We start from the raw sequence: 13,355 nt of genomic DNA, 5'->3' as shown, positions 1-13,355 counted from the left end.
GATGGGCAGACCACTTGAGGTCAGGAGTTCAAGACCAGCCTAGCCAACATGGTGAAACATCTCTATTAAAAATACAAAAATTAGCCGGGCATGGTGCTGTGCGTCTGCAATTCCAGCTACTCAGGAGGCTGAGATGTGAGAATCACTTGAACCCAGGAAGCGGAGGTTGCAGTGAGCCGAGATTGTACCACTACACTCCAGCCTGGGTGACAAGAGTGAGACTCCATCCCATTTCCAAAAAAAAAAAAAAAAAATTAAGTATTTTTGAGATAAAATATTTCTTATCAAACCATTATATAACTTAAAGCAGCTATGTTTTGAGAATTAAATGAATTTGTCTAAAATGCTTCCTATAATTATAAGCACATGCTAAGATCATTACATAAGGCTTCCTTTTTTGACTCAGCCAATTCAAACTATTCTAGAGAGAGAGGAAAAATGGAATGCATTTTTAATACGAATGGAATGAGATGACACTACGAATTTCTCATGTTTTAATGATGTTGTTTTGAGAACTCAAAGATGATATCAGTCTCTCTAATCTCAACAATCAAGGGCAGAAAGTGAAAAATCAATATAGTACTGCTGTGCTAAACAGCTACTCAGGAATGGTTTCCTTTCCTATAAAACCACTTCCCACTTCTAGCCTGAGACTGTTGAGCCCTCTCCAACTATAATGTTTCCTTTCTTCCCTAAGCAGCACCAATGAATACATATTTTACATCATATCAAACACCTAAATGATAAACCAAACAAAATTAAGTCTCAAAAATTTTTTTAACCTAAATATTAAATAATCAGAGACATGCATAAAGGTTTATGTATAATGATAACAATCACGGCATTATATATACAAGCAAAAAACTGAAAATAATATTTAAAAAGCAGGAAATTAGTTACAGTTAATAATAATATATCCACAGAGTAGACTACCAGTCATTAAAAGTCATGTTTTCCAAGAATAATAAGGATATGTGAAAATGCTAATATGCTACTGAGTGAAAAAAGGAAGATACAAAGTAATGTGAATCTAATTTTGTAAAGAGAATATACATGCATAAGAAAAAATCTGGAATATATACTAAAATATTAATAGTGGTTCTCTAGACATAAGAATGGGTAATTTTTACTTTTTAAAATTTTCCTGTTTTTCATAATTTTCACTGAACATATAAAATTATAATGAAAGATATTTCTAAAAATAAAATATCAAAAAGTTTAAAGTATTTTTTCTGTTAAAGCAACATAAATAGCTTTTTCAAAGTAGTTGATAATTTTTTATTGAATCGAATCAATCAACATTAAATGATTATATATCTTGTGCTTAAACACTGTTTCATCTGTATACATTAAGCCACATAATCAAAGACTCCAATACAGTACCTTGTCTTTCTTCAGGTGTTTCAATAAAATAAGGCATTCTTTTCATTGTTTCTCTCAACTCCTGTTTCAAAGCCAGCATATATTCTTCACCTTCTCCTGTTTTCAGTGGCACTGGTTTATAATCTGTATCCTGTTTAAATTAAGAGACAAAGATTTTTTTCAAATCAATTATGTATTTTAATATCCCTTTTATCTGTATTATAGAAAACAGCAGTTTTATTGAAATACTATGTTTTACAGGCACTAAGTTTTACAACCAACTTAAAAGATGAACTTCTGTAGTCTATTTAACCTGTTAACCCATTTCCTACTTTGCTCTTCTATTAGAGGTAAGAAAGATGCGTAATTTTCCTATTGGCCCTGAAAACTACACCAATAATCATTTTGCCAAACAGTCTGTTGACCTATGTGATTATCTACTTTAAAAATTAAAGTACCAGGCCGTGCATGGTGGCTCACGCCTGTAATCCCAGCACTTTGGAAGGCCGAGGCAGGTGGATCACGAGGTCAGGAGATCGAGACCATCCTGGGTAACATGGTGAAACCCTGTCTCCATTAAAAATACAAAAAATTAGCCGGGCATGGTGGCGGGCACCTGTATTCCCAGCTACTCGGGAGGCTGAGGCAGGAGAATGGTGTGAACCCGGGAGGCGGAGCTTGCAGTGAGCCAAGATCGCGCCACTGTACTCCAGCCTGGGTGACAGAGCTAGAGTCCGTCTCACAAAAAAAAAAAAAAAAAAAAAAAAAAAAATTAATGTACCAAAAAAAAAAAGAAAAACTAAGGTACCCAAATGAGAGCAGCTGCTTTAGGTTCTTATTAACCTCAGCTAGTGGTGGTATTATTGGAAAAAAATAAATAAATAAAAAAGCAGCAGCTATCATTTAGTAAGTGGTTGCTATGACTACAATATACTCAATATCCAACATCCAGTATCTCATTGAAAGGGCTACCAATATTTATCCTTTTACAGTGAAGAAATTGAGAAGTGAATAAATGGCAAGATGGAGTTTGAAGCTGCATTTCAAGTTTTAAAAATTATACACACACATACATATACACAAATACGCGTTTGTATGTGTGTATATATTTACACAAATATGTTCATTAACAAGTGGATCTCCAGGGTACCTAGTAAAGACATTTCTGATTTCAGAGGATAAAGATAAGGTACATTTTCAAAATTTGATTAGGAATGTATACATTCATGCTGCAACTACTTATTGAGTACTCAACATGTTTAGACTATGGAGGATACCATGATAAATAAGTCAAAGTCCCTGCCCACAGGGAACTTACATTCTAGGAGAGCAACATACAACAAATTAGTAAACAAATGAGGTGACATACAATTTCACATAGTGACAAATGACATAAAAATAAATGAAGGTGGGTAAAGGAAAAATGACTGACAGTGCATGGAGGATGGAGGTGGAATCTATGCAGGGTGAGCATGCCTGGCCTCTTGGGGAGGTCACATTTGAGTAGAGATTGGGATAAAATCAGGGAGCCATCCATGCAAAGAGAAGAGATGGTTCCAGCAGAGAACCAGCAGGGCCAAAGGCCTGAGGACCCAAGGAGACCTGCGTAGCTGGGGAATGAGGACAGTGGTAGAAAAAGGGTCAGAGAGACATCAGAACGGAGAGATCGGGCAGAGCCTTTTACCCAGTAGTAAGGAATTTTAATTTTATTCCAAGTATAAAGAAATACTATGTACTAACATCCCCAGTGTTTAGAGGTAATCTCCTCACACATGGAAAAGAGCTTGTTTTTAAAAGCACTGTAAAGTGACATTATGCCAATACCTGAGATATTTGTCTTTGTTTTTATGCTGCGCTGAATATCAAAAAGGTAAAATACCAAGAGCAAAACGCAGAGACTCCTTGTGTGATACATCTAGATCCCTGGATACATTCTAAACTAAACATAAAGCGAAAACATTATATATTATGGAAATTAAGCTTGCAGCATACTCACTAAATTTTAAAACAACACTAAAATAAGCAAAAAAAGTTCAGTGGGGGAAAAAGTCAAGTGGTATACTAAGGAGCAAACTTAAATTCTATAGATACAAGATAAGAAAATCATTAAGTGAAGGTGTGATAGGGTGCGAACTGAGAACCATTATAAAACCTAATGACTTTTAAAACTATTATTTTCATATTGGAATTTATCAATAACACCAATACAAGTTGTAAGAATTGAAAACTAATTCTTTACTGGTTCACATAGTACTAAATATATTCATGGAAAGATGTATACAGTTTTGTTTTCTATATTTTAAGAAAGCAGATCATGAAAATATTTAAAGGTAAGTGAAACACACTCTCCTTTACTTTCTTATACTTGAGGATGCTATAATCATACATCCAGTCCCATATAGAATTTTAATATTCTCTGAAAAATGAAAAAACACACTATGAGAATTCAACTGTTCATATACTTACAGGAAATAGTGGGGGTGGTTTCAACACTACATCAGGTAACTTTTCACCTTTGCTAAATCCAACAGCCTCAATATTAAAGGTATAAGCAGCACGTCCTCTTCCTTTATTCCCAGCCATCAGAACCAGTTATACCAGATGAGTGGGCAAATTCTGAAAGGCACTATTAATGATTACGATTTACTGGATCACATATAAAAAAGAAATCAACACTTTAAAGCAAAATATAAAACTGCACCCCTTAAGTAGCACAGTTGACTTAAAATACTTTTGGAAAGCAAAACATGTACACAAATAAACATGTGACAACTGACTGTTGAACTGCTCACACTCACACACCTCTGGCAGGTAAGATAATGATGGCTTCAACCCCCTCACCCACTACTGCCCCACATCCAGTCCACGCAATTCACCCACCCTTCTGTGGTTTGGCAGTAGGATCTCAGATGTAATGTACATAAAAAGTGGACACAAGACAAGACCAGGCTGATGAGGAGAAGAAATCTTTCATGTCAACATAAAAACTATCATTAGTCATATATACTTTAAGACTTTAAATGATTTATCTTAGCATGTGAGTGTTTGGAAGAATCCCTGAGATCTAGTCCAATGTCTTCCTTCTAGAAATGGGAATGGGATCAATGAGACTCGAAAGATGCCTGTCCAAGAAAAAAAAAATTCAGAGAAAAACAGTTAAAATCATTAAAGTTATGATAAACCTGTACTCTTCAATTTTGGAGACAGGAGTGATATCACATATGCAAGTTGTATTGAACGTTTGAATCCTCTGATTATACTATGAGAACTGAGCTGCCAATGTATAAACAGGGATCCCTACGCTAGAGTTCTTTCAATAGAAGTCTGCATTCAACTGTAGTGATGATTATAATGCACATTCTTTACATTTCTTTCCCTGCTGATAATACTGAGCCTCATTTAACCCCTTGAACCCAAGAGAGAAATGGTATGTCCCCTGGACCACTCGGAGGAAGTCAGAGGAGTGGCATTGGTTTTGGCCCCATCAGCTCAGTCTCATTTCTGAATCTACTCACTTGCCCTCCTTGCAAAATTATGCAAGCCACAGTACTTCACACAGCTGCTCTACTCTTCACCAGGGTTTCTTGCCTGGTCATTAATGTTACCCTTCTTAGTCTACCACATTAATGGTGAAGGAACACTACGTAAAACCAACAAGGTGCTACGTCTTTATATCAATTTTACTGTCTACAATTTGAATATAGGCACTATTTTGGACCAAAAGGCTGAAAACTCCCAGCTCACTTTATCACAGGGCCAACACTACAAAGCAAGCGGCTCTCAGTTCTCAACCCTGGCTGCCATTAGAATGACTTGGGTGGCTTAAGAAACTAGAGCAATGGTTCTCAAAGAGTGCTGTCTGCAGCAGCATCACTCAGAACTTGGTAGAAATGCAAACTGTGAGTTCCACCACAGACCTAAAGAAAAAAGAAACTGTGAGTGGGCCCAGCACTGGTGTTTTAAGAAGCCTTCCAGATAATTCTATGTATGCTAAGTTCTGTGAATCACTGAACTGAACCAATCAATCCAGATCTCTTGGGGTGAGGATTGGGCAAGAGTCAGTTTTAGAAGCTTCCCAGGTGATTCTAATACACAGCAAATGTTAAGAGTATTGGTAGAACTGTTTTGGTGGAAGTCTTAGCTACTAAGGAGTAGTTGAGTTAAAATACACATGTAGAATCAAGGACTTCATAGATCTCATCTTTGAGGTTTAAAATTATAAAATTAGCCTTAGCAACTTAAAAATATTTGCCTTAAAGGTAAGATAACTATAATTGCTGTAAATCTATGTAACACTCAGGATGTGGCAGTCCAAGTTTTAATTCATTTGCAAGGAATAGCAGTAACAAGGCATTGCACTTTTAGACAGCCAATTTAATTTTTTAAATATTTTATTTATTTATTTTTTTCACTGCAACCTCCCTCCCTCACTTAAGCAATTCTCCTGTCTCAGCCTCCTAAGTAGCTGGGATTATAGGCGCGCACCACCATGCCCGGCTTATTTTTTTAGTAGAGACGGGGTTTCACCATGTTGGCCAGGTTGGTCTCAAACTCCTGACCTCAAGTGATCTGCCTGCCTCGGCCTTCCAAAGTGCTAGGATTATAGGCATGAGCCACCGTGCCCGGCCAATGGCACCCTGCCAATGATGGCCAATTTTAATGTCCTTCTACATTTAAGGCCCCAGAAGCAAATCATATATTCAACATCTTTATGTAATGAAACATCGTTTCCTGTTTTCTGTGAATTACTCAAGTAGAATGCACGGCATTTGATTTGACATAATGGCTATGATACTGAGAACATTTTCAGATATGATTTTGTAACTGCCCAAGGCGTTCACCCTGCCTGCTGTCTGGACAGAGCTGATTTATCAAGACAGGGGAATTGCAATACAGAAAGAGTAATTCACACAGAGCTGGCTGTGCGGGAGACCGGAGTTTTATTATTCCTTAAATCAGTTTCCCCGAAAACTCGGAGATCAGAGATTTTTTTTTTTTTTTTTTTTTGAGACGGAGGAGTTTCGGTCTTGTTGCCCAGGCTGGAGTGCAATGGCATGGTCTCCGCTGACTGCAACCTCCGCCTCCCGGGTTCAAGCAATTCTCCTGCCTCAGCCTCCCGAGTAGTTGAGATTACAGGCGTGCGCCACCATGCCTGTCTAATTTTGTATTTTTAGTAGAGACGGGGTTTCTCCATGTTGGTCAGGCTGGTCTTGAACTCCCAACTTCAGGTGATCCACCCGCCTTGGCCTCCCAAAGTTCTGGGATTATAGTTGTGAGCCACTGCGCCCAGCCAGAGATCAGAGATTTTAAAGTTAATTTGGTGGGTAGGGGGCCAGTGAACTGGAAGCGCAGATAGGTTGGCTCGGGGATGAAATCATAGGAAGTCAAAGCTGTTCTCTTCTGCTGAGTCAGTTCCTGGGTGGGGGCCACAAGATCAGAAGAGTCAGTTAATCGATCTGGGTAGTGCCCCCTGATCCATCAAGTGCAGGGTCTGCAAAATATCTCAAGCACTGATCTTTGGAGTGGTTTAGGGAGGGTCAGAATCTTGTAGCCTCCAGCTGCATGACTCCGAAACTATAATTTCTAATCTTGTGAATAATTTCTTAGTCCGACAATGGCAGTCTAGTCCCCAGGCAAGGAGGAGGTTTGTTTTGGGAAAGTCTGTTATCGTCTTTGTTTCAAACCATAAACTAATTTCCTCCCAAAGTTAGTTCAGCCTATGCCCAGGAATGAACAAGGACAGCTTAAAGGTTAGAAGCAAGATGGAGTCACAGTTAGGTTAGATCTCTTTCACTGTCTCAGTCATAATTTTGCAAAGGTGGTTTCACGCCCAAGAATGAACAAGGACAGTTCAGAGGTTAGAAGCAAGATGGGATCAATTAGGTCTGATATCTTTCACTGTCATAATTTTCTCAGTTATGACTTTTGCAAAGTTGGTTTCAATCCCTCCCTTTGGGTTTCATAGTTTTACATTATTCATTTCGTAAATTTATCCCTGCAGGCCTCCATATTTGAGTTTTCCTTCATAACTGCTTGAACACTAAAAGTTGATTTGTCATCTTTAATGTTGTCGTTTTAAACTACAAGTCTATGCCTTTTTTGGTTTACTAATACTTACATTTACTATACTTACATGCACAAAAGTCAGTATATTAAATCTCCATATACCCACTACTCAGCTTCAAAATTATCCGTATATGACTATTGTACTTTAACTATACTTTTCTACTCCCATGCTTCAGATTATTTTAAACTCTTCAGTATGTATCCTCTCTCAGAGTTAAGGGCTTTTAAAAAAATCACAATAACATTGCATCTACAATTTTAACAATAACTCTATACCATCATCTTATATAGAACTAACATTCACATTTCTTAGTTATCACATAAATGTTTTTACAGTTAATTTGTTCAAATCAAGATATAAAAAATACATGACATTTAACTTTCTTTTAAACTGTAATGGTTTTCCCATTTTTTTTTCTTTCTATTTGTCTAAGAAACTAGGTCAGTGCCCTATACAATGCTTCTTAAACTTTAGGTACAAGAGAATTACCTAGGAATCTTGTTAAAAGGCAGATTTTGAATCAGTTGGCTGCAGACAGAAACTGAGAATCTGAATTTTTATCAAGGTCTCAGGAGACATCAACTGGTTTGTAAACCATACTTTGAAAGTAGCAAAGCTATATAATTTCCCATATTCTGGATTTGACTGATTTATACCTGAGATGTGATTTAACATATTCCTGTATTCTCTGGGTGTATTTCCAATAAACAGGTAAACTAGAGGTTTAGATTTGGGTTTGATTTTTTTTTTTTTTTCAAGAATACTGAAAAGGGATGCTCTCTCTTTCCTTCTCTATTACATCAAGATGAACATAAAGTCTCCCTCTTGGTATTGATCAGGCTGGTCATGGGTTCAGGTGTTGGTCTATTTCATTAAGTATAAAGTGTCCATCAGTTTTCACCTAATGATTTTAGCAGTCACTGATGATCACAATCTAGATCAATTTTTCCATTATGAATTGCAAAATGGTGGTATACAAATTTTATCTTTCTTTCTGTTTTATTAATTGGAATTCCACCAGGGATCAATTTCTCTTATCTATTATTTAGTTACCTTGAAATAAAGTTCATACAGGAACTATATTTATTTTAATAGCCCAGCTTATTACATCTCTCTACATTAAAAAAGCAGGAAAATATCCAAATGGACTTGTTTCAATTGCTGAGTCACTAAAACATATGCTGAGCCTAGAGAAAGCGTATCTCCCAAGTATCAAAACTGCTGAGCAGAAGGGGTCACACCTTTCACTCTAAGAAACAACTGCAAGAGCCCACTAGGCCTACTCAAAACCACTGGGCTGCACTCCAGTCCAGGATTTGCCACTACTTAAAGATTAAAAACAATTCCAGGTAAAGTTTACCAGACTTTCCTCATCATGAAAATTAACTGGAGGACCTGCTAAACATAGAGTCCTAGGCTTTCTTCAAGCCCTCAAACCTACCATACCAGAATCTTTGGAGGTGGGCCCTGGAAAAGTTTGGAAAACTCACCCTAAAAAAAGAGGACACCAGCTAGCACTGCTTCATGGAACAGCTCTTGAAAAATAACAAACTCTATTGACTCTAAATTTCCATTTTTATCAAGCAATCTTTGGGTGTATGAATTGCTATCATTAGCGAAGGTACCACCCTTGCCAGAAAAACTTCCTAGCTTTTGACACATTTAATAATTATGTGGCATTCCAGCCTACAAACCCATCTCTTTAAGTTAGTTTTCATGAATCCATTACCCTGTACACAGAGGAGCTGATAAATTCATTTTCTTCTCCTGCAGAGCTCAGAGAGAGTCCCTGGATCCTGGTAAATGTATCATGAAAGAAACAGCCTACAAGTGAGACTGTGGTTGAGTTAACCACTGTCTCATTCCTTTTTCAATACACCAAACTCTAGAATAAAGGAGTTTTAGTGCTTTCTATATTTCCTCATGCTCCAAATGTTTCTCTACTTCATATGGCCCAATTTCATTGAGTCATTCATTCAACCAATATTGAGCATTCCAGGCACTGTGCTAGGAGCCAGAGAGCACTGATCAATCATATTCTTTCTAAATGTCACTTTCTTTGCAATTTCTCTACCATAATCCAGCTCAGTCCTTTTTCACCTCACTTCTGATTAACTGCAAACTTTGTGGTATCCCTTGTTCTTCCTGTTTAATTTATGGATCCACATTACTCATCCTAAAGCACAGTTTTGATTCTGCTACTCTCCTCATCTTCCCTCTTGGCTAACTGAATTAAATCCAAACTCCCTATTTACTCAGAGCCCTTTTAAGATGGTTGCACCCTATTCTCCTGACTCACTATAGTCATGTCTTGAATACCAGTCTTTCCACTGCAACTTACTCCCTCTGCCTCCCTGACTTGCTACATCCCTTTTCACCAAAAAAGCCAGTTTAAGTCCCTCAGCAACCACAACAACCACTTCATCCCACATTGCTCTTGGAAAGATCCTCCTGTTAAAACACAGATTAAAAAAAAAAAATTTCAGGTGATATATGTTGCCACACTTGTCAATTTTCAAAGAAATAGAATACCACTTTTGGGAAATTGATCTTTTCCAAAGGGGAGGAGTTTCACCTATGTTTTTCGTTTGTTGTTTGTTTGTTTTTTCCCGAGATGGACTCTTGCTCTGTCGCCCAGGCTGGAGTGCATTGGTGCGATCTCGGCTCACTGCAACCTCCGCCTCCCGGGTTCAAGCAATTCTCCTGCCTCAGCCTCCAGAGTAGCTGGGATTACTGGTGCCTGCCACCAAGCCCGGCTAATTTTTGTATTTTTAGTAAAGATGGGGGTTTCACCATGTTGGCAAGGCTGGTCTTGAACTTCTGACCTTAGGTGATGTGCCTGCCTCAGCCTCCCAAAGTGCTGGGATTACAGGCATGAGCCACCGCGCCTGGCTGTTTGTTGGTTCTGTGTTAAGCAGGGATTTTATCCTCCCTACTGTCTACCATAGTGCTTCCTATATAGCAACAGCTCCACAATTAATGTCAAGCTTACCCTATTTGTGCACTGTGATTTGATGAGCAAATCTACCCACAGAAGGACAATTCAGTCAGCCCATTATTAAGGCTTTTTTCCCCCTTTCTTTGAGTGGGACCTGGCTGCACATTGGAATCACTGAGAGAGGTTTTAAAGAAAAGAAAACCCAGGATTCACCCCAGAACAATAAAATCAGAAGCTCTGGAGGTACCATTTAAGCATCAGGACTTTTTAAAGCATCCCAGGAGATTACAGTGTGCAACCCAAATTAAGAACCACTGCATTTTTAGTAGAGACAGGGTTTCACCATGTTGGCCAGGATGGTCTTGATCTCTTGACCTCGTGATCTGCCCTCCTCGGCCTCCCAAAGTGCTGGGACTACAGGCTTAGCTGGACATGGTGGCACGCGCCTGTAGTCCCAGCTACTCGGGAGGCTGAGGCAGGAGAATCACTTGAACCCGGGAGGTGGAGGTTGCTTGCGCCGCTGCACTCCAGCCTAGGCGACAGAGTGAGGCTCCCTCTCAAAAAAAAAAAAAAAAAGAACCACGCAGATTAAACCTCCCATTTTACAGAAGAGGAAAGCAACACCCTAAGCGGTTACTTGATTACCTAAAGACGCAAAGCTAATTCCTAACAAAAGCAGGACTGCTTTACCTTTCCACTGTTCTTCCATTTGCATTACACTTCAGGAAGCATAGGTCTAGGCTGGTTAGAAGACTTTTTTAATCCCAGGGAGGTCTTTATTCAATGAAGTGAATTAATAACTGCAAAACAGACTCAATTAAAAATGTAAAATCAGTAGCATTGCCCCTTCCATTTCAGGATGTCTCCTGAAAATTTCTATTCAGAATTGTTCTGAGAGGTTTGAAAATGGGTGTAGTTTAAGCATCCAAGAGCTGAAATAAAAAAGTCAATTTTAATCAACTACCAAAACAACGTCCTAGCAGATGCTGAGCTAATCTCTGAAATTCCTCCTAGTTCTAACATTTTATGAGTTATGAGGTAACTGAAATGTCTTGTCCTCCACGTCTTACACAGTTCCTTGTCCACACTGAGGCAGGAAAATAGGGTCTGGAGGCAGGGAACAAAAGGCCAATTCACATTACGGCTATGACAGGAAATATCCTCTCCATAGGGCATATGCCAAGTAAATGACTTTGTAACTTTACTTCATCCTCTTCATTTACATAGGGTGTACACCAAGTAACTAAATGGAAACCCCTAGAGGGTATTTAAACCCCCACAAATTCTGTAAGGGGACCCTTGAGCCCATATGCTCCACCCACTGCCTCACTGGAGTGTACTTTCATTTTCAGTAAGTATCTGCTTTTGTTGCTTCATTCTTTCTTTGCTTTGCGCGTTTCGTCCAATTCTTTGTTCAAGACGCCAAGAACCTGGACACCCTCCACCAGTAACAACGTCAGCTCCATGAATAAATGCACAAACAGATAGAAGCAGACATAGAAGCTAGAGGAGGCAGTGAAAGTCAAGTCACGGTATTATTCCTGATGAATGACCCCTAAATTGCTACAATCAGGATAGGTATTCTGACCTGTCTACTTCCAACCCCTCATCTAATAGTAGAGGTTTACCAGCTCTGTTCTCTCTCCCATGTTCTGTTTCTTCCACCTCTGCTTCAGTTCAGACCCTCTCATCTCTCACCTGGACCTCTAAAACAGAACAAATAAACTTCCTGTGGCCGGATTCTCCCTTTCAATCCACTCTGCAGTCTAGGGTATCTTTCTGGAATACAAATCTTGACATGTGACTCTCCTTAACAGAGCTTTGGAGTCTTTCTGCCTCTCACCACAGGCACCCCACGCTGTGGCCAAGTCAACCATTGCATGCCTGGAGTGCCCTTCCTGCCACATCCACTTAAGCCCCAGGTTCTTTTCAGATGCCATGCAAATGACACTTTCTCCATGACAATTTCTTCCACCCTACATGGAGGTAGGCCTCTCCCTTCTCTGTGTTTCCCAAGTACTACTCTGCTTTTAAGCCCTTTTTACAATCATGTTGTAACTGTCAGCTCTTATCTGTCTCCCAGGGAGCCTCTTCAATCCAATCAAGTATTTATTAAGCACCCTCATCGTCAGGCCGTCTTCTATGAATTGGGAATACAGTAGTGAACAAAACAAAATTTCTCCTCTCATGAAGCTCATAGTCTAGGGTAAGAAACTGACAAAATATATTTTATAGGAAATGTCAGGAAATGATAAGAAAAATAAAGACAGGAAACATGGATGCTATTGTGGAAAGGGTGGCTGAAGAAGTCCTCTCTTACTTGGTGATACCTGAGCATAAGCCTGACAAAAGTAAGGCAAAGAGCCATGTAGAGAATTAAAAAAGGATATCCAGTGAGATGTGGGATGCAGGCAGGGGGACCTGGAAGTGTGAAGGTCTCCTTGGAAACTTATTCTCCTTTTTATGTCCCCATTACTAACGAAAGCCTAGCAAAAGGCCAATGATTATTGGATAAATTATTGCTGAGCTCATGGCCTGGTAGAGATATCACTCCATTTCACCACTAGTGGCTTGCTTCTGCCTAGAGAAAAAGTACCCAGACTACTGAGGGCCCTATATTACTCTGCTGAGAATGCCCTAAAAGTAGTCTTTTAAGGCCAGCTCAAAAGCCACTCCTCACGAATCCCTTCCACCTGTATTCTTACTGAATCTAGCTTTTACTTCCTCTGTGGTACATACCCCGTAATGCTTTATTTTGCAAGTAATTGTGTACAGACATTATCTTCCCTCAAACTCCTGAGAATCCAGATTATGACCTTTTTACACAACTCTGTTCATGAATTACCCAGCTCAGCGACTTGTGCATAAGGAAAGCCCCCAGCTGAGTAACCGAATAATCTCTGTGAAGATTAGCAAAGTATTTAGAAAAGCTGCATGCCCACCAAAGACTTTAGGAGGGTAGGAAAGGAGCGTACACCTCTCCTTCCA

The 13,355-nt window shown here is 39.1% G+C and overlaps 1 protein-coding gene across 12 annotated transcripts in view, besides 1 other annotated feature; it reads right to left on the bottom strand.

Annotated features, from left to right (window-relative positions):
* POLR3G (RNA polymerase III subunit G) overlaps window positions 1-13,355 on the bottom strand; it is a 40,629-nt gene that overhangs the window by 25,045 nt on the left and 2,229 nt on the right. For 6 of the 12 annotated variants that reach the window (NM_001370354.1, XM_047416634.1, NM_006467.3 and 3 more), the window contains exons 2-3: window positions 3,829-3,988; window positions 1,384-1,513 (exon numbers count right to left, since the gene is read on the bottom strand). In NM_001370354.1, coding sequence (NP_001357283.1) covers window positions 1,384-1,513; window positions 3,829-3,945 — 247 coding nt within the window. In that variant the 5' untranslated portion in view covers window positions 3,946-3,988. Of the gene's footprint in view, window positions 1-1,383; window positions 1,514-3,828; window positions 4,485-13,355 lie in introns of all 12 variants that reach the window. The other 6 variants (XM_011543101.4, XM_047416635.1, NM_001370351.1 and 3 more) reach the window with 2 other exon arrangements.
* Window positions 12,999-13,138: an enhancer, noted in NCBI's record as "active region_22779". NCBI's record gives its function as "activates an Ori minimal core promoter by ATAC-STARR-seq in GM12878 lymphoblastoid cells {active_cell/tissue: GM12878}" and the evidence as "EXISTENCE:reporter gene assay evidence [ECO:0000049][PMID:35858748]".

Source organism: Homo sapiens, chromosome 5 (assembly GCF_000001405.40).
Source record: "Homo sapiens chromosome 5, GRCh38.p14 Primary Assembly".
Classification (NCBI taxonomy): domain Eukaryota; kingdom Metazoa; phylum Chordata; class Mammalia; order Primates; family Hominidae; genus Homo; species Homo sapiens.
The sequence above is the reverse complement of the archived record's forward strand: the minus strand, read 5'-3'. Positions and strand labels throughout refer to the sequence as shown.